The sequence below is a fragment of the Homo sapiens genome, chromosome 15 (genome assembly GCF_000001405.40).
Source record: "Homo sapiens chromosome 15, GRCh38.p14 Primary Assembly".
NCBI lineage: Eukaryota > Metazoa > Chordata > Mammalia > Primates > Hominidae > Homo > Homo sapiens.
Window position 1 is genome coordinate 24,140,786 of NC_000015.10, and position 22,500 is coordinate 24,163,285.

Sequence of the window (22,500 nt, forward strand, 5' to 3'; positions counted from 1 at the left end):
CTGCACTCCAGCCTGGGTGACAGAGCAAGACTCTGTTTCAAAAAAAAAACAAAGCAGCAATTAATTTAATTATATTTTCCTAAGTATAAGATATATATAGATATGTGTGTATATATATACATATAAGTAAAATGAAAGGAAAAAAGGGAGAAAAGAAAAAATACAGGAAAAAGGAAGAAATAGTTAGAACTATTCTTTTATAAGATGGTTACACTACTTCTGAGGCTGTATACTTTTATATGACAGGAGCTTAGATTAGTAGTAAATATAAATTGCAACCTCTAGGGGAGGACACTGGATGAGGAGCCTCAGTTTTTTGCTGTCTGTGGCCAGAGGCTGCATGCAGTTATTTCCCATGTTGGCTTCTCTCCCATGGCAGAATGTGTCATCAAAGCCACCATGACAGAGAGCTTGCAGCAAGACAGGTATCATAATCTTAGGTAACATGATTACCCAAGTGACATCCTATCAGGTTGTAGTCTTCTGATATATCAAAGCAAGTTTCAGTTTCTCCCCAAAGTCACAAGGAAAGGATTAGATATTCTAATTAAGCTCTGAGGATCATTGTGCACCATCTGAGAGTTCACCTGCCAACGTCAGGTCTTGCTTAATCTGGGACAGGTTCTCAGTCCTCACTTTGTGAGAAAACAGGTCACATAGTTTGTAAAATGTATCAAAATCCAGATTTCTCTGAATGTTTCTCATAATTTTACTGAGCAATATAGAGAGAGACATGTAATTATCTATTTGTGAAGAGAAGAAACAGCAAACAGGACATTATTAACAAATACAAATTTAGAGACCAAAACTAAGAAAGAAAAGTTTGCGAATGGGAAAAGGAAAATTAAAAATAATGGTAATGTTCACCAGGGTAACAAAAAGCGTGGGAATGGGGAGGTGAGCACCTGGGACGCTACGAGATCGACAGTGTTCTGCTTAGTAAGCTCAATAGTGTAATTTTTAAAATATATATATTTTATTTATTTTTTAAGTCTGTGTTAGAATAGCTTGGATTTACAGAATAGTTAGAAGTACATACAGAGAGTTTATATATATTCAACACATAATTTCCCTTTTATAAATTCTTACATTCATTTGAGACATTTGTTGCAATTGATGAACCAATATTATACATTATCATTCAGCAACATTCACAATTAATCAGATGTTCTGTTCTCACCTAATGTCCATATTCTGTTCCAGGATTCCACCCAGGACACCACATCACATTTAGGTATCGTGTGCCAGTTTCTCAGATTTTCCTTATTTCTGATATCATTGAAATCCTTCCTTTGGGATGTCTCTGGTGTTTTCTTAATGATTGGATGGCTGTTGTGGATTTAGCAGAGGAAACCCACAGAGGGAAACTTTTATTCTCATGATATTATAACAAGAGTACATAGTGTCAACATGCTGTATCAGTTTTTTTTTTTTTTTTTTTTTTTTTTGAGACAGGGTCTCACTCTGTTGCTCAGGCCGGAGTGCAGTGGCATGAACAAAGCTCGCTGCAGCCTCGAACTCCTGGGCTTGAATGATCCTCCACCTCATCCTCTTGAGTAGATGGGACTACAGGCATGTGCCACCACATCTGGGTGATTTAATTTTACTTGTACTTTTGTAGAGGCAGAGTCTCACGACATTGCTCAGGCTGGTCTCTAAGTCCTGGCCCTAAGCGATCCTCTCACCTCAGGCTCCCAAGTGCTGGAATTACAGGTGTGAGCCACTGTGCCCAGCTGCTTTATCATGGTTAATGTTATTTGATCACACGGATGAGGCAGTTTAGCTCAGTTTTCTCCACTATAAAATTAATATTATTCCCCTTCTCATGTTGTACCTTTTGGAAAAAACATCACTATGCACAGCACATACATACTTCTATAAATGTCATTTGTGTTTCTGTAAAAAATATTTAACATTCCTTGGGCTGTTCTGGATCAATTGCATTTTTCTGTGCGTTTTAGAGTCAGTGGTCCAAGAGTTGCTAAAAATGAAAAAAAATTAAAGTTAGAATTTTAGTAGGGCTTGTATTGAATCTGAAGATGCATTTAGAAAGTATAAGCATCTTGGTTAATACTTAATAGCTTTCTGATCAATGAAAATCTAGTTCATATAGTATATTACACTAATTCTTTTATTCATTTATTTAGGATTTCTTTAATACTTCAATATCATTTGTAATTTTCAGTATATATATCTTGCAGTTATATTATTTTCAAATATATTTCCTTTTGGATGCCATGTTAAATGAAATTACTTTCTGAGTTTCATTATTTGATTAGTTTCTATTGTATAAGAATGCAATTTATTACATCGATCATGCATACTGAATTTTTTTTTGTTCCAACCTTATTTTAGTGAATTTTTTAGGATTTTCTATACATTAGATTATGTCACTGGCCAATAGATGTTTGACTTCTTCCCTTTCAATTTGGAAGTCTTATATTTATTTTTCCAGCCTAATTTTATAAATTACATCCTCAGGCATAATGTTTAGTTGAATTAGTGGAATAGATAACCTTTTGTGTTTGTAATTTTGGGAAAATTACTGAGACCTACTTGATACCATGTGTTGTCATGTGAATTTTTCATGGGTGCCTGTGTTAGGTAAGAACATTCCCTTTATGCAAAATTTGTTTAGTGTTTTTACTGTGAGTGGTTTTTTGAATTGGAAAGTGCTTATTCCATATCTTTAGATGTGATAAAGAAAATTTTGTCATTTATTATATTAATATAGTGATTACACTAATTCTTTTTATATGTTTTACCAAACTTGTGATCCTGAGAAAATAAATAAATAAATTAGTGTTTAATTCTGTTTTACGATCCTGATCTGTGTTCAGACTATTTCCTCGAGAATTATTGCTTGGGTATCCATAAAGCATATGAGTTTATAGTTTTCCTTTTTTGGACTGTTTTTGTTTGGTAGTGGCCTCAGAGGAAACTGCCTCATAGAATGTATTGCACACTGATCTCTTCTCTATTATTTTATCTTTTTGGAGAACAGTTAGTAAAAAATTGCTGTTAATATTTTAAGGGTTTCATATAAATCATCAGTGAAGTCTTCTCAACCAGGTCAATCACGAGAACTTAGAAGATGATTCCTCCCCAGCTGATCCTCAGGTGAGACCTCAGCCTTGGCCATCATCTACATCTGAATTCCTGACTCAGAGAAACTGTGAGTAATTTGTATGTGCTTTTGAGCCACTAAGTTATGTGGTTATTGGCTATGCTGCAATAAACAATAATACACTTAACGGTAAACATAATATGTTATCCTTGATTAGATCCAAAAAAAGGAAAAATGGCATTAGTGGAAAACCTGGTAAAATATGAAGACAGTCAGTACTTTAGTTAATAGTTTTGCGCCTTTATCAGTTCTTGAGTTTTCATAGATAGTCTATGGTTCTGTTGTGATATTAATATAATAGGAAATTGAAGGGTATATACAACTTTATGTAAGGTTTTAACAACTCTCTGTTAATCTAAAATTATTTCAAAATAAATAGAAGTGTAGACATGGCTCATATATTTGAGATCAGGTCTCCCTGTTAACTTAATTGAGCCTTCATGGAACCTAAATCTCATGGCACAAATGCAATAATATTATAAAATATAAATCAGATGAGTTTCTATTTTACTCTCTTCTTCAGGGAACGCTAAAGCCCATTCTTCTTCTCAAGTATTCAAAAACAAAGTTGATCCAAGTAACAAGTGGACAGCATAAAAGATTGTATGGAAACTATAATGCATCTACATCTGCAGTAACTAATCATAAAATGATTTGTATGATCATTCTTCACATGATTAGAATGACTATGGGAAAGAAGAAAAAGAAGTGCAACTTTCTTGATTTAAAAATTGTATCCGTGCAAGTGTGGTGGCACACACCTGTAGTCAGTCCCAGCTGCTAGGGTGGGTGGGTAGGATGAACATGTGGTACCAGGATTTTGAGGCTGTGTAGCGTGCTATGCTTGTGCCAGTGAATAACCAGTGCACTCCGGCCTGGGCAACATAGTGAAACCCCATTAAATAAATAAATGAATAAGTTACAGAGATCATTGTTTATATTTCTATGATTAGGTCTGAAATCCTCTAGATAGAGATTTTTTGTTGTTTTGTTTTTTGAGACGGAGTCTCACTTTGTCACCCAGGCTGGAGTGCAGTGGCGTGATCTTCTCCCTGCAAGCGCCTCCTCCCAGGTTCACGCCATTCTCCTGGCTCAGCCTCCCCAGCAGCTGGGACTACAGGCGCCCGCCACCATGCCCAGCTAATTTTTTTGTGTTTTTAGGAGAGGCAGGGTTTCACCATGTTAGACAGGATGATCTGGATCTCCTGACCTCATGATCCGCCCGCCTCAGCCTCCGAAAGTGCTGGGAATACAGGTGTGAGCCGCCGCACCTGGCCTGAGATTTTTGTTTATCTTTGGAGAGCTACCACTCCAGTGCAAACTTTCAAATAATGCCTTGCCAGTTTTACTTTCCCTCTCAAGGATTCCTGGAACTATAGTTTATAAAATTATCTCGCAGCATGTGTGTTATTTCACAGCATGTGTTTTATTTTTACTTCTGTTTGCTGTTAAGGCCTCTCTGGATGGTGACTATAACCTATAACCTTGCCCAATACGACTCAGGGTTTGGTACTGGCTGTGCCTTTCATGGGATGCTTACTTATCCTGGTCGATGGCCTAAAGCCCAACCGTCCAGCTTACATCCAGGTATCCCTCTCACAGAGTACTTCTTTATACTGTAAGACACCCTGTGGCTCCTGTCTGACCTGTGTCTAGTTTATTTCTACCAAGGTAACCACTCTCTAGGAGAGTGCTAAGTGGGAGAAAAGTGATGTCCATGTGTGTTCGTAAAGTGAAATACAGAGGAGGCAACTCAACAAAATGTGTATAATGGCATGAGTCATGTATTACTAACCAATCCCAGTAAGAAGAGGGCAGCATTCCTTGAAGTGCAGATGGAAAGAGAAGAGCTCTCCAGGACATACACTCATAAGCAGCAGGGGTGGTGGAGGAGCAACTAGAGACAGACATAGTATTGCACCATTTGGCTGAAGTCTTTATGGGTGTATTTGTCAGTTGTTTTTTTTTTCCAGAGAGACAGGGAGGTAGATAGGTAGGTAGATAGATACATATATAGATGGAGAGTTGATAGATAGATAATAGTTCAATGAGCGGCATTTTGTTTGGGGATTTACTCATGTAACATTGTAGAGACGGAGCATTCCCGAGACAGCCATCTGTGAGTTTAAGGACCTTGGATGCTGTAGCGTTGGTGGCTCAGTCCAAAGCTGAAATCTTCAGAATCAGGGAAGCCCTTGGTGTAATTCTCAGTTTGGGACCAATGGCCTGAGAATCCAGGGCATTTACTGGTGTAACTTCTGGAGTTTCAAGGCCATAGATCATGGAATTCTGTTTTCCAAGGGCAGGAAAAGGAGTATACCTTCTTCAGGAGAGAGAGACAGGAAGACTTTTTAAAAATTTTTCATTTTTGGTTCTATTTGGTCCCCAAGGAGATTGTATGCTGCCTTCCCCCATTGAGGGTGGATTTTTTTCCACTAAATTCCCTGAGTCATACACCAATCTCCTCTGGAAACACCCTGGCAGACACACCTAGAAGTAATGCTTCACCAATTCTGTAGGTATTCTGTAATCCAGTCAGCGTCTTAAATTAACCATGACAAATCCAGCACCTTTCTAGTTGGCACCTATATGTGTCACCTTAAGCCATAACTAATCTTCAAATACAGACAATAACAAGGCAATAGTTCTACCTAACATTATGCAACGATCCTGTGTGCAACCAGAACACACTATACTATTTTTCTTAAGAGTAGTAGAAGTTTGTGGGTGATGTTTACTCTTCTGATACCCCATAACTTCAATACAAATATATTAAATTACTAACACTTAACTGCTAATATCAAGTTAATGCATTCTTGTGTTATGTGATAAAAGAAGAGAGAAATAAAAACAATGTTATTTGGCTAATAAATGTATATATAACATGCAAATGTATTCTTAAAGTAGATAGGAAATACTAGTGACAATTTTAATCCTTGTTTCTTTAACTGGTCACCTGGTCCTGTCTGCTATTTGTAACTCCCTTCTACTGCTACCCATTCAGTATTCTCTTTGTCTTCAGCAAGCCCCTCTGCTGGTCCTGGGTCTTTACCTGGCAGGGTGATGCAAACCTTCATTCCTGAAAGATCTGGATCATTTGTATTCTTGTCTGGAATGGTTGTAATATTCCATTGAACTTAATAACAGGGCATAGTAATACTAAGACTTTGTTTTAGTCCATTTTCTGTTACTTATAACAGAATACCTGAAACTGGGTAGTTGATAAAGAAAACACATGTGTTTCATACAGTTATGGAGGCTGAAAAGTCCAAGGTTGAGACGTTGTATGTGGCGAGATCCTGTTCCTGGTTGGAACTCTCTGAAGAGTTCTGAAGCCTACAGGGTAGCGTATGGCAATGGAGTAGAGCTTGCTGACATGCAAGATCATGTCTCCCTTCTTATAAGCCACTCTTCTCTCATAGTAGACTATTAATCTTTAAATATTAATTTATTAATCCATGAAAGGATTAATTCATTTATGGGGTCAAACTCTTCATGATCCAGTCACATTTTAAAGGTCTCACAATTCAGTACTGCCATGTTAGGGATGAAATTTCAGCATAAATTTTGGAGGGAAGCAATATTCCAACCACAGGACTCCACTTCTGACTCTAAAAATAAAGCCCTGTCACTTACAAAAAGTTTATTTAATTCCTATCGTTCAAAGGCTTAAATTGTTCTAGCACCAGCAGGAAGTTCCCAAATCTAAAGTCTCCTCTGTCAGCCCATGAAATCAAAACAAGTTATCTTCATACAAAATTCAGCAGTTGGGTTGTTAATGGTCAATGGGTTCATGTTGGCTGCTGCCCAGATAGAGTCACTTTATCAAGATAGGGGAATTGCTGTAGAGAAGATTTTATACATGTAGAGCCAGCTAAAGGAGAGAGCAGTTTTCGTATTACTCAAAACTGCTTCCCCAAATATTCAGAGGCTAGAGTTTTTATAGATAGTTTTGTGGGCAGGGGTTAGAGAAAGGGACATGCTGATTGGTTGGGTCAGGGATGAAATCTTAGGAAGTCAAAGCCATCTTCTTTACTGACTTCAGCTCCTGAGTGTGGGCCACGTATCCAGATGAGCCAGTTTATGGGTTTAGGTGGCACCCACTGATCTGTCAGAATGCAAGTTATGAAAAATACCTCAAACACCAATCTTAGGTTTTACAATAGTAATGCTATTTATAGGAGCAATCGGGGAGGTTATTAATATTGTGGCCTCTGATTGTATGACTCCTGAGCCATACTTTCTAATATTGTGGTTAATTTGTTAGTTTTACAAAGTTGATGTGGTCCCCAAACAATGAGGGGTTTTGTTTCAGGGAGGAGCTGTCATTATCTTTGTTTCAAAGTTAAGCTACAAAGTAAATTTCTCCCGAAGTTAGTTTGTTTTTGCCCAGGAATCAGCAAAGGCCTCTTGGAGGTTAAATGCAAGATGAAGTCACTTAGGTCATATCTCTCTCCCTATCATAATTTTCTTACTGTTACTGTTTTTGCAAACGTGATTCCAATTTCCCTTTGCAAGTTTCATTGCATCTTATTCTTAATGGGTGAGGTACAGAGTTGGGAAAAGGCCAAAGACCATTCTAACTTCTTCCTGCTGACAAGGGGTATACTTGGGATAGGGTTTGGCCCAGAGTAAATGGAATGAAACTGCTTTGCAGCTGCCTGCATGTATTCACAGGTGCCTGGTTGGGGTTCCTAGGCTTGCATGACCAAGATGTTAGTGCTCTCATCCACAGTTTTAGTACAGCACTTAAGTGAACAGCTGACTATAGGATAATGAGTCCTAATATAAGGAGTGGAAGTCCTAGCTTCAGAAGTCCTTATATAATTCATCTAAATCCCTGAGCGATTTGGGTGAATAGCGCCAAGAACCAGTCAGACATGGGGTCAATAGTCAAGAGAGATATGGGTCAGAGGTTGTTAGAAAGACAAATTTGGATAAACAGGAAAGAGCAAATTTAAATATACCATCTCATATCTTTTTAGTTAGTTTCCTAGTCCTCAGAATAGATCCCAGCAGTGTTTCATTCCAGGAGGCGTCACTGCAAATGAACTAGGCCCCCTTATGTGATTAAGGCAAAAAACATTTTTAATAACAGGCATTTGTATGGAAATAGAAAATAATAACAAAGATTTATATTGGGCACAATGCATCCAGATGTTAGATTCAAAGCATTTTTAAGTTGCAAAGGAGGATAGTGATGACAATCTCACATATTTCGCATCTGTATCTCAAGGGATAAGCTTCAGCCTGCAGGGCCTTGGGAAGAAGTTCGTAGCCATTTCATTGAGTCCAGGTCAGAAAAGGGGAAGAAAAATGTGAATGTGTTAGTTTGAGCACTTTAGCTCTGAGAGATTTCAGGATTCAGTACAAAATGCAGAAAACAATAAAAAGCTTAAAAACAATAGACAAGACTAGAATGTAACAACAGGTGTGCTATAGTATTTTTCTGAAATACAATGTTTCGCTCTCTAGTTCTCATTTTTTAAAGACATATCATAGTAGGACACATTTATTTGCAAAATAAGTTTTGGTATTATTATACTTAGCCTGATTATTTGCGTAAAGTTCAGCAAGAATAATTATTTGCCATATTAGCTCTTTCTAAATTGGGTTTGCTGGAACTTTGTTCCCTAAGGAATCTCGGATTGGACTTTTTTAAAGCCTTCAAGGGATGTATCTGTGCCTGCAAATACTTGTACAGATTGCTTGAAATTCTCTCTTCTTCAGCTCCCAAGATAATTTAGGAATCATAGGCCTGTCAGAATGTGACATTTTTTACTAACCACAGGTCAGGAACCCTGTACAAGGCCTGTGTAGACAGTTATGAGGTCAGTTTCTTAAGGGGCTTTTATCATGTCTGTTAGTCAACTTTAATTCCTCAAGCCTGTCTGTTTGTATCTGAAAGTAGGCCATTCCACTGGTAACATCATCACATCTTTGGTAAAATAATCAGTGTCTCCAATTGTGTTCTCTTACAAAAGAAATCAGATTCTTATTTTACTTATGTCAATAACTATATCTCCATAGTATAGAATACTCATAAATAAATAGTTTTCAAATTCTGGAGAAATCAAGTAGAGAAAATGAAATATCCTTCATCTTTTGTTCACAGGAATATACTTTACTCAATCATGAAAAGCTGTAAATAGCTGAGAAGAAAAAATGTTGTCTTGACTCTGAAAAACAACAAAAAAGATCAGCAACATTTCAAGCAACAAGTCATAAAAGGATTATTGTGGTGTTCTATTTCTTCTATTAGTTCAGTCCATGCAGTTAACTTTGTCTGACATTAGGCCTGCAGTCCTCATAAACATACCAGCTATCTCTGACAGTCCTGGAAGTTTGTTTGTTTGGTTTTGTTTTTTTCCTATTTCAATGCCACAATCTTTAGTTATCAGAAACCTGTATTCAAGAGAACATTTCAAAGAGCAAACACATTTTGAATAGTTTAAAAAAAAAAGAGCACAATAATCTGTGGGTGACAGTAATCTCAGGACAGCCATTGTTTTATTAATTTTACTTTGATTTTGTTGAGACAGGGTCTGAAGCCACGCAGGCTGGAGTGCAGTGGCACAATTATGGCTCACTGTAGTCTCACCTTCCTGGAATCAAGCAATCCTCTTTCTTCAGCCTCCAGAGGAGCTGGGACCACAGGCAAGTGCTACCACATCCAACTAATTTTTTGACTTTTTTGTAGAGAAAAGTTCTCACTATCTTGCTCAGGCTGATCTCAAACACCTGAGCTCAAGCAATCCTCCCAACTTAGCCTCCTAAAGTTCTGGGATTACAGGTATGAGCCACTGTGCCCAGTGAGGACATTACAGGCATGAGTCACTGTGTCCAATGAGGCCATTGTTAAAGACACAGTCAACAAAGAAATCTGGTCATTTCTGTGACACATAACAATTCAGCGTAATAATCATAATTATTACTGATAACATATACTAAGACATATTAGAATTATTTCTGAATATTCTTAATTTATGGTATTATAAGTTATTTGCATATGATCGATATGATATTTTTTTTTGTATCATGATACAATTGGAGACAGTAGTTACCTTGCCAAGGCTTTGGCTGGAATAGCATATTTTCATCTATGAGCAGATTGCTTTGACAAATTTAGGTTGAATAATAGAGCCAATAAAATTCCCTTGGAGAGACTGGCCTTGTACCTTCTCTACAGATTTTCTAACCTGTGGTAAGAAAAGCATGTTACCTTCTGACAGGCCTAGGAACTCCAAGTAATCTTGCGACCTCAAGATGAGAGGAATTCACCCAGTTCATAAGTTATTTGCAGGCACAATAAATCCTTGTTTGAGCTTGAGGGGCTTTTTGAAAAGTCAAATCTTAGACACTTTGTTTAAAAAAAAAGTTCCATCAATGCCAAATTAAAAGAGCCTATATGGAAAAAAAAATATCCTTGCTGCACTTTGTGAAAATAATCAGGCCAAGTACAATAAAACGAAAACTTACTTTGGAAATAAGTTGGTCTTACTATGATTTTTCTTTAGTAAAAATGGAAGACTATAGAAAGAAAAATGTATTTCAAATGAAACTATAGTACATCCTTTATTGGATTCTAGCCCTGTTCATTGCTTTCCAGTTTTATTATTTGCCTACAATTTAGCTAGACTGGATCCTAAATTCTTTGCCGGTTACAAGTCTCCAAACTAACATTTTCAATGTTTTATTTTTTTTTCCCATTTTTTTCTGACTTGGAATTAGTAGAAATTAAAACTGTGCTTTGTGTAAAGCCCTGCACACTGAAACTAGAAAACTTAAACTTTGGGAGAAACAACAGCATCTTATTTATTTACATAAAAGATTTCAGGACTATCTAGTTATATATGGACTGCTCTGTAATATAGTCTATCAGTTTTCAAGGATTGCTTTCTACTTTGTTGCTATAATCCAGCTGTGTCTCTTTTTTCTTATCTTTTCCCTTTATTTTTTATTCCCCCTATTTCTTCACAACCTTCTAGAATGAGTCTCCTTAAAAATGTAGATCCTAACTTTCTAGGAATAAACCATCCTAATGTTGAAAGATTAGGGAAAAAATATAACCAAACACTCATTTTCTTCTAAAATGCTTTCTCTGAAATATTTTGAAGAACAAGGAAAATAAAATTTTGGGACCCCAAACTCACTGTGCCAAAGGAAAAGTTGGAAACTGAGTCATGCTAATACTACCTTCCTTTTGTTCCCAAAGAGTCAGCTGTAATTTCACAAGTTTGCCTATCTTATGTAAAATGTAGATCTACCACGCACAAGACAAATGCACAATTAACTTTTACCCCATTCCTCTTTACACATGCAACCTCTGGATGCAGTGAGTGCTAATTTGGATGTAACACTTGCCTCGCTGTCTTTCCCCCATTTCTTTATCCTCCATCCACTCCTCCCTGGTCTCACCTCTATAAATATGGAAGTCAGCAAAACCTTCTTTGGAAAAAGCACAGGCCACAGAGCCTACTGTGACTTGTGTTTCTTTATCCTTAAACATGGCAAAATAATTCTCTGAATTGAATGAGATCTGTGTCAGTCATTTTTGTTTTACATAGTTCTGCACTAAACACTAAGTCAATATTTGCTACTAGTGACAGCTTTTTCCAAGTAATTGCAAGAAGTATCGTATGTATCAACTGTAAAATACATCATTATTTTACATCACAATAAAAGCATAAAACTATTGAAAAACTATGACATCACAAAAATTTTATCTCATATATGTTGCAAATAACACTTTTTGTTTGAAATGCCTGTTCCTTGGTGCCATAAAGAAATACCACTTGAATATCATTTCCTCAGCAAGGCCATTTTTATATTTTCTGCAGAAAGGGTACACTTGCCAGCAGTTTTGCAATGAGAGTACACCGAACAAAGGAGACAGGGTCATTTATAACCTGATGCTTCCACCCTACTGCTGTGTCCGGTTTCCATTGGCTGGAACAGGACCTCACATTCTATATTTGTCCCAACTGGCTAGCAACTTAGAACTTTTTAAAAGAGGCAAAGGCAGAGGAGAACAAAGGAAGGAGGAAGTAACTTTTGGAATCTGGAGAAAGGTAAAAACACCTTCAAATAAGGAAGAGGAACAGGCTATGACCTAATGCTTGCTTGGACCAGTATAAGCATGCCAGGGGAAATATTTAGGCTAAATTGTGGGAACTAAGAACATAAAGTACATTCATTTCTTTATTACGGCTAGCAGATATTTAAGAATGTTAGCACAGGTCTTTGAATAAATTTTGCTTCTAAGAGAAGTTACTATGTATTCCTAATGAGATGGGGAGGAAAGTCTTTGAAGAGGAATCTCTACTTTACTTTTTACACTTTTGAATATAAATGTGTGTATTTATGTTTTATCACTCCTATGATCATATGAGATAGAAAGTAAAAGCAAAATAGGTAATCAAGGTTTTCTAAAATTTCTCATATTTGGATAAAACTCTTCTAAATCACTGTGCGTCTCACCTTGTCCATGGATTCTTCCTACATTAGCATCATCTCTGCTAATTAGGAGCTTTGCAGATGCCATATTTGTAGTGAGAGAACTATAAGAGTTTATGTTAGATTGTTTCTCATCTACTAACGTCCCTCTCCAAATTATGATGTTAAAGATACCACCAGAATGTGAAAATGGAAGTTTTTTACATCAAGTTCACGTGTGTGCACAGAAAGTTGATCACATTATGACTGTCTTCTAACCAATAGTCTTTTCAGAATATTATGATCCATCTCTATTTGGAAGATGTAAAAATATGCCTTATAAAATGAATGGAACACACTATTTTTTCTCTGTGACTGCCCCCTTCTCAGTATAAAATTTTGTTGGCTCATCATATATATTCTGGTCTATTACTGCAAAAACATGCTTAACTATAGTTTCAAATTAGTTGAACAACTAGATTTACCTGCTACCTCAGGATTAGAGAGAGAGTTATTATTGGGCTACTAGAATTCCTATTTTAAATGTTGCTGTGAATTGTTTTAATTTGATGTAACCTGGGCATTCATTTTCTACATAGTTTTGACATTCTCATACCAGAAATAGGGTTTAGAAATCCATGACATTTTCCAGTTTGTGGCCTCCTCCATGTTCCTCAAGGTGGTCATTGAACATAGCCCCTTATAAAACCTGCTCAAGGTTTTATAAGCTGTCCATATAAGCTGTCCATATAAGACAGCTGAATACCACCTTTATCTCATCTCACTGTCCCCTGTGGGAACTGCACAGATATTCGGCAGTAACCACCTCTCAGTCACAGTTTGACTCTATGGAAATCATGGTTGCTTCACCTTAACCCAGCAATTTGAACTCCTCATGAGAAACCTGCTTGGGTGACACTCCAAAACCCAATGTGATGTTTAGTTTTAGGAGTCAACTAACTGTATTAAGGAATACCTAGAACACTGGCAAAGCTTTACTTCTGGTTTGTGAGGTTTCACCAGAAAGGTCTGAAATGTGAGTCGGTAGACAGAGTGGGTAAGATCCTGTGATGGAGCAGGGACCCTTTGTTAGGGGCCTGTAGCTTCCCCAAGCAGGGAAATAAAGGAAAATCATGAGTCCCTTCAAGGGAAATCCCTTGTACCTAGCTAGCACTGAGAAAGAAATGAGGAACTTGATAAGCAAGAAGGTAATAGTAGCCTAAACAATCGCCAAGGAAGTTACAGTCAGAAGATGTTTGTTTTGTTCCAAAGATCACATCTTAACATGCATTCCTGAGTCATTTTTCATAAACCTAGACCCCCACCAAAGGCATCTGCTGACAAGTACACCTCAGATAAGGGGGGCCTGAAAACTGAATTCTGACTGCCATTCTTTGTACTAAATTTCTTCTGAGGGGCCTAGAGGGAGGCAAATCCATTAGCCAAAGAGCTAACATTTTTTTCTCCTGACCCCCAAATTTTAAAACAAACCTCCTTTTTTCAGAAGGAATGGTACCAGTTACTCCTTGTACCTCTGGTAGAATTCGGCTGTGAATCCATCTGGTCCTGGACTCTTTTTGGTTGGTAAGCTATTGATTATTGCCACAATTTCAGAGCCTGTTATTGGTCTATTCAGAGATTCAACTTCTTCCTGGTTTAGTCTTAGGAGGGTGTATGTGTCGAGGAATTTATCCATTTCTTCTAGATTTTCTAGTTTATTTGCGTAGAGGTGTTTGTAGTATTCTCTGATGGTAGTTTGTATTTCTGTGGGATCGGTGGTGATATCCCCTTTATTATTTTTTATTGCATCTATTTGATTCTTCTCTCTTTTCTTCTTTATTAGTCTTGCTAGCGGTCTATCAATTTTGTTGATCCTTTCAAAAAACCAGCTCCTGGATTCATTAATTTTTTGAAGGTTTTTTTGTGTCTCTATTTCCTTCAGTTCTGCTCTGATTTTAGTTATTTCTTGCCTTCTGATAGCTTTTGAATGTGTTTGCTCTTGCTTTTCTAGTTCTTTTAATTGTGATGTTAGGGTGTCAATTTTGGATCTTTCCTGCTTTCTCTTGTGGGCATTTAGTGCTATAAAGTTCCCTCTACACACTGCTTTGAATGTGTCCCAGAGATTCTGGTATATTGTGTCTTTGTTCTCGTTGGTTTCAAAGAACATCTGTATTTCTGCCTTCATTTTGTTATGTACCCAGTAGTCATTCAGGAGCAGGTTGTTGAGTTTCCTTGTAGTTGAGCGGTTTTGAGTGAGTTTCTTAATCCTGAGTTCTAGTTTGATTGCACTGTGGTCTGAGAGACATTTTGTTATAATTTCTGTTCTTTTACATTTCCTGAGGAGTGCTTTACTTCCAAGTATGTGGTCAGTTTTAGAATAGGTGTGGTGTGGTGCTGAAAAGAATGTATATTCTGTTGATTTGGGGTGGAGAGTTCTGTAGATGTCTATTATGTCTGCTTGGTGCAGAGCTGAGTTCAATTCCTGGATATCCTTGTTAACTTTCTGTCTCGTGGATCTGTCTAATGTTGACAGTGGGGTGTTAGAGTCTCCCATTATTATTGTGTGGGAGTCTAAGTCTCTTTGTAAGTCACTAAGGACTTGCTTTGTGAGTCTGGGTGCTCCTGTATTGGGTGCATATATATTTAGGATAGTTAGTTCTTCTTGTTGAATTGATCCCTTTACCATTATGTAGTGGCCTTCTTTGTCTCTTTTGATCTTTGTTGGTTTAAAGTCTGTTTTATCCGAGACTAGGATTAGGATTGCAACTCCTGCCTTTTTTTGTTTTCCATTTGCTTGGCAGATCTTCCTCCATCCCTTTATTTTGAGCCTATGTGTGTATCTGCACATGAGATGGATTTCCTGAATATAGCACACTGATGGGTCTTGACTCTTTATCCAATTTGCCAGTCTGTCTTTTAATTGGAGCATTTATCCCATTTACATTTAAGATTAGTATTGTTATGTGTGAATTTGATCCTGTCATTATGATGTTAGCTCCTTATTTTGCTCGTTAGTTGATGCAGTTTCTTCCCAGCCTTGATGGCCTTTACAATTTGGCATGTTTTTGCAGTGGCTGGTACCGGTTGTTCCTTTCCATGTTTAGTGCTTCCTTCAGGAGCTCTTTTAGGGCAGGCCTGGTGGTGAGAAAATCTCTCAGCATTTGCTTGTCTGTAAAGTATTTTATTTCTCCTTCACTTATGAAGCTTAGTTTGGCTGGATATGAAATTCTGGGTTGAAAATTGTTTTCTTTAAGAATGTTGAATATTGGCCCCCACTCTCTTCTGGCTTGTAGAGTTTCTGCCGAGAGATCAGCTGTTAGTCTGATGGGCTTCCTTTTGTAGGTAACCCGACCTTTCTCTCTGGCTGCCCTTAACATTTTTGCCTTCATTTCAACTTCGGTGAATCTGACAATTATGTGTCATGGAGTTGCTCTTCTTGAGGAGTGTCTTTGTGGCGTTCTCTCTATTTCCTGAGTTTGAATGTTGGCCTGCCTTGCTAGATTGGGGAAGTTCTCCTGGATAATATCCTGCAGAGTGTTTTCCAACTTGGTTCCATTCTCCCCATCACTTTCAGGTACACCAATTAGACGTAGATTTGGTCTTTTCACACAGTCTCATATTTCTTGGAGGCTTTGTTCATTTCTTTTTATTCTTTTTTCTCTGAACTTCTCTTCAAGCTTCATTTCATTCATTTCATCTTCCATCACTGATACCCTTTCTTCCAGTTGATCACATCAGTTACTGAGGCTTGTGCATTCGTCACATAGTTCTCATGCCATGGTTTTCAGCTCCATCAGGTCCTTTAAGGACTTCTCTGCATTGGTTATTCTAGTTATCCATTCCTCTAATTTTTTTTCAAAGTTTTTAACTTCTTTGCCATTGGTTCGAACTTCCTCCTTTAGCTCGGAGTAGTTTGATCTTCTGAAGCCTACTTCTCTGACTTTTTTATATTTATTTTCTACACCAATTACCTTGGCCACATCCTCCAATACAGTGGTGAATAAAACTGTGAAAGTGATATCCTTCTCTTGTTTCTAATTTTACAAGAAAGTGTTTGAGCTTCTCAGAACATTTAGGATGTCATGTGAGGTTTTCTGTGCTTTCATGATGAGGAAATTTTTCTTATTTGCCTAACTTGTTGCATGTTTTTATAATGAATGACATTTCACTTTAGCAGGTGCTTATTGCTCATCTTTTAAGATGGCCATGTGTATTGTGTCCCTTGTCTCTTAATATAGTTTATGGCACTAATTCTTTTCGTATGTTGAACCAAATTTGCCTTTGTAAGATGTATACCTTCGTCAAAATTTATGAATTTTTACATGTCTGTTATTTGCTTTGATAGTATTTCCTTTAATTTTTGTGTTTATGTTCATAAGTCATATTGATCATAGTTTTTCTTCAGTAATTTTGTCTATCTATGGTATAAGGCTGATAATTCACATTGGAAATTGATCCATTCTTCACTGTTGTTCTTACTGTTTTTTATGTGAAAGGTCTAAATTTATTTAGCACAAATAGAATTGAACACATAAAAAGGAGAAAAAAGTACACTTTTTCAAGCTAATTTTCAGACTTTGCAAACAATTATATTGTATAAGTGAATAAAACCAAATGAGAGTAGTAAAGAGATGTGATTGGGCTACATAGATGGAGATTTACAATACACTAGAAAGGGAGAGAGAAAGGTGGATGATAAATTACTCTTTTTAATATGATTTTCACTATTTTGCATATTTCTTTCTTTAAATACACTACCTACAAGTATAGAGAAAGATGAAAATATGGGTTGACAAACAGGTGCTCATTAATTAGAAGAAATACAAGATTTAAATTCTGGTATTTCATTAAGGCCAATTTAGTTTGTATGCTTAGGAGACCTAACCTGTAGACATTTGATGTGACACATTTTGTGAGCCTTCATAAATATCTATAAAAAATAGAAAATCAGAGTTTCTAAAAACTTAAAAATTGAACAAAACAAGGATTTAAATATTACTATTAAAGTTGTTACCTATTCCCAGATGAGGACTTAGAAAAACAAACAGTTGGCAAACCAGTGCAGCAGGTGACTTCCATGAAGCCAGAGGCACACCCTGGGAACTGGGCTGTTGCTGGAGCCGACACTGCTGTGCTGCACATGTGGCTGCCACCAGTTTCCTCCCTCTCTGGGAACTGGAATTTGAAATGCAGGTGCTGATGGCTGATGGATGGAGGGACAAGAACACATTATCTCAAAATCCTTGGCTGGGTTGCTTGCTCCTCATTTCACTGCTAGATGCCACAGGCTTGGGGTTTACTGTTTATTTGTTGAAAAATATATGATAAATTGGTATTAATTATTTGAAGATGTAAAATCATTCACTGGTGATGTCTTCTTGACCAAGTCAGGAATTTTTTTTTTTTTTCAGAGACAGGGTCTCACTCCATCCAGGATTGAGCACAGTAGCATGAATGTAGCTCATTGCAGACTTGAACTCCTGGGGTCAAGCAATCCTTTTGCCTCAGCCACTTGAGTAGCTGGGGCCACAGGCACATGCCACCATGTCTGGCTAATCTTTTTTCTTGTTTTCTTTTCTTTTTATTTTGGTAGAAACAGGTTCTCACTATGTTGCCCAAGCTGGTCCTGAACCCCTAGCCTCAAGTAATCCTCCTGCCTCAACCTACCAAAGCATTGGTATTACAAGTTTGACCCACCGTGATCAGTCCAGGGTAGGAAATGGAATCTTAACAACTATCACATGAACTTTGAGGGGATCCTTCTCTGGATGAGCCTTCAGTTGAGACCTCAGCCTTGGACATCATCTACATCTGGATTCCTGACCCAGAGCAACTGTAAGTAATGTATGTGTGGTTGTGAGCCACCGCACTATGTGGCAATTTGTTGTGCAGCAACTGATAACTAATACAAAAGATAGTACCTTTAATTTATACTACTACCCTGGATTAGATTCTGGAACAGAAAAATGGCATTACTAGAAAACCTGGTAAACTCAGAAGAAAGTCTGTAGTTCAGTTAATAGTTTTATACCACTATAAATTTATTAGTTTTCATAAATACACTATGGGTATATGAATAAGATGTTAACATTCTAGTAAACTCCTGGGTATGTAAAACTAGCTGTACTATGTTTGCATCTTTATGTATATCAAAGTTATTTTAAAATGAAATCTTTGATTGTTTATTTTTAATTAAAAAAGACAGGCATGCATATGTTATCCCAGCTTCCGGGGAGGCTGACTTGGGAGGATTGCTTGAGCCCAGGAGTTCCAGGCTGAAGTGAGCCATGATTGTGTCACTGCACTCCAGCTTGGGAAACAGAGTGAGATCATGATTCAAAAAAAAAATTGGCCTCAGGAGATGAATGGACATATAGGAAAAAAATTGCCAAGCAGATTTCCGCATTTATTTACCTTCCATACATACATCCATCTACTTCAGGAAGCCAGCATCAAACTCAAGGAACTCTTGTCCACATTTGACCTCCCCATCACACTCTTTATTACCAAGTAACTCGTTTGAGTGTCAGTAACCTCTCTCTTTTCAGAGATATTTGCCTATGCCTCGCATACCCCAGAAAGGCCCATTTTCAGATATCATTTAGGAACATATCTACGGGTTCCCACTGAACATATTTTGGCAGACAAAGTTTCTGGATGCCAAAGACCAAGATTGAGGAATGTTAGTGACAAGAAATGTAAGTTATATTTTCATATTATGATTTTTTATTAATACAGGCTTAGTTTTCTAAAGATAATTCTGCCGTCAAGCCCTGTTGGAATTCTGTGATAATTTCTTTTCACTCCACGTTCTCCATCAGGAATTTTATGGAACCTTGTATTCTGTTGAGTAACAGAATTATATCAGCAATCCCAAAGTCACCAAATGGGCATCATCATGACAGCAGGTGGGTGGAATACAACATACATATATATGTATATATGATGGTTGGTGGTTTTGGCAGTTTCTACCTATCTGGACCTGGACAAAAAAATCTTTTCACACCAGATTTTTGGCAGCTGAGATTCAAAATAGGTTTTGCACAGGCATGGAAAACCTGATGCAGGCTAATCAACAGGCCAGGTGTGGTGGCTCATGCCTGTAATGCCAGCATATTGGGAGGCCAGAGTGGGTGGACTGCTTGAGTCCAGGAGTTCAAGACCAGCCTGGGCAACATGGAGAAACTGTGTCTCTACAAAAAAAAGAATAGGAAATTTAGCTCAGTATAATGGCACACACCTGTGGTCCCAGCTACTCAGGAGGCTGAGGCAGGTGGATGGATTGAGCCCAAGAGGTCAAGGCTGCAGTGAGCCATGATTGTGTGACTGCACTGCAGCCTGATCAATAAAGTCAGACCCAAGAAAGAAAGAGAGAGAGAGAGATCGAGAGAGAGAGAAAGAAAGAGAGACAAAAAGAGAGAGAGAAAGAGAGGAAACAGGGAAAGAAGGAAAGAGGGAAGGAAGGAAAGGAAGGAAGAAAATACAACATATCCCCAACCCTCCAGCAGTGATCTAAGAGATATACACAGGCTGAGTGGTGATTCTACATATGTGCTGGCTAAACAAAGAATCCCACAGCAGGAAGGACTCTCCACTCACCCCACACACAACTTCCTGTTCAACACGCTGCTGGACAGCACCAGGGTTGTTTCCAGGGACCATGCCTAAAAACCCACAAAGACATCAGACTTCATTCTGCACACCCATGGCCATGTATAATGACTTGTTTTTTGGTCTATAAACATGGGGACTATTGTCTACACCACAGTAATAGTGACAGTGAGAAAATGAGCTCTTGTGACCTAGAAAATTGGAAGACACATTCAGCTTCATGGATGTCATTTCTCATTCTTAGATGAGGATAACTGTTACTTAGGTGGTGTTAATTGAGCATTTGTAATTCAAGAAAACTAACTTCTTTAAGCTCATACTTTATTACTTGAGACATGACAGCTTCATTTAAGGTTCCCATTTTAAAACATGGTGAGTGTTTCCATTTATTTCATTTGAACTGGAGATACTATCATACTTAGGTGACTTGTCAAATCCCTTTTGTTCTTCATTTCAATGTATGTTTTCTAATCTATCATGATGAAGAGTGTGAAGATTGTCCTTCACCAAACAAGGAAGCAAGTAAAAAAAAAAAAGCTAGAATGGCAAACCATAATATAGACATAAGTAAATGCATTCAAGGTGTAACCCATCTCAATGTGGCATATCAGGGAGATGGAGACTGGAGAGATGAGGTTTAAAAGAAAACAGGCACTAAACTGAAAGCTGTGCTAACTGAAGTCACAGGCACAGATGACATCATGTTGTGCTCCAAGTTCCCAAACAACCTCTCTGACAGCACAAAAATTATGATTTCCCATAATATACTAAGCTACCAGGTTTCAGAGTGGCTGTCCTGAATCATTGCAAACAAGCCGAATTCTTAGACCTCTTCACAAGGCAAGTACATAACACTCTTTCTCCATCCACACTTTAGACTGATTGGAAGTTAGAGTTTAATGGATGGGTGGCTCGTACAATTGAGACCATGATTTCATGTTCACTTTATTCAGTCTTCCTGAAGCCTTAAATCTCTGTCAGGGAAACATTCATGTAACTCATTACAATTCTACTTCCTCCTCAACAGATTTCTAGGACCATCATTTTTAAAATTATTTCTACATACGCAAAATAGGGATTTCATTACTCCACTAAAAGCTCTCCATTTTTAATAATTAGCATTCCATGGAGGGCAGGTCTTTGTAAACCTACCACCAAAATATGAGGAAGCTGAACAGCTGAAGATAGAGGCTGATATAACCAGTCCCTTAGAAAGAAACATTTAGTAGGGATTTATGAACAGATATTTGAGTCTCACATAGGACTTATATACCATGGGGAAGGAATGTGTAGGAAAACTGAAGTCTACCTGTCAGGGAAAGGCAGAAATGCCATGTGAATCTAAGCACAGGATTTATAGTCATGGTGGTTCTGACCTAAGGGCAGGATTTACAGAAAAATAATGATTTTCACAAGGAACAGTAGACACAATAGAAATCTTATCCCCTAGTTTGCATATAAAGGAAAAAAATATTTATACCAAAAGCTTAGAGGCAGTCTCCAAACGGGGGTTAATCAGAAGTCAACATGATGAATTAGCTTTCAAGATTGAGTTGTTTTTGCCTCCACTGCTAGCTAGAGGGTAAATGCAGTTGGTCAGCTTATGTGAAAGTAGAAGTCTATTTCTTCAATAATATACTGTAATACAGAAGATGAGGTACCCCTTTTTCCAAGTAGTCATTGCCAGTCAAGGAGAAAAGTGCCATATTCCATTCCTCTTATGATACACATGTAACTGAGTGCAGGTCCGGCTGTTCTATGCATTCAAAAGCAATGACAAGGAGGACTTGCAGGGTGAAAGGAAAGTGACTTTATTTTTCAAATCCAGCAGTAGGGAAATGGCTGGATGACACCTGTATAAACCAGTTCACAAGGTTGGACTGAGGGCAGGTTTTTAAAGAAAGGGAAGCATAATGCATAACATGGGAGGCATGCAGGAGGTGTGCAGATTCAGGGAGTCTGTGTCTTACTCCCATGTGTATCTTGAGTTATGGTCCACCTGGAGCCACAGACTGATACCATCTTGATAGTGCCAGACCATAGGTATCCATCCAGAGGCAATCTTTAAGAGAGAGACAATACCACAGCTGGGCCTGTATGTTTGATTCATTTTAAATTAGCCTCTGGTATTTTTTGACAGGCATATAGTTAGATAATTATGCATTGTGTGAGTTTCGCCAGCATACAGTTAGATAAATGTGTATAAGGCATGGACATGTACAGTGGGAAACTGAATGGGGTGTGGTTCCAAAGTATATTTCAAGGTTCTACTTGAAGACTGAGGCAATGGTTTCTGCAGTTTGCTTCAAGGTTACATCCTGAGACTG

General features: G+C 37.8%; 2 long non-coding RNA genes across 2 annotated transcripts in view; one reads left to right on the forward strand and one right to left on the reverse strand.

The window, feature by feature from the left end:
- The window catches only part of LOC105370733 (uncharacterized), a 440,742-nt gene that overhangs the window by 39,106 nt on the left and 379,136 nt on the right, over positions 1-22,500 (forward strand). The window contains exons 9-10 of the long non-coding RNA XR_007064539.1: positions 3,035-3,120; positions 9,670-9,710. This is a non-coding gene — a long non-coding RNA (uncharacterized LOC105370733). Of the gene's footprint in view, positions 1-3,034; positions 3,121-9,669 lie in introns of the transcript that reaches the window.
- LOC105370732 (uncharacterized) overlaps positions 1,901-22,500 on the reverse strand; it is a 50,985-nt gene continuing 30,385 nt past the window's right edge. Inside the window, exon 3 of the long non-coding RNA XR_931993.3 lies at positions 1,901-1,981. This is a non-coding gene — a long non-coding RNA (uncharacterized LOC105370732). The remainder of the gene's footprint in view (positions 1,982-22,500) is intronic.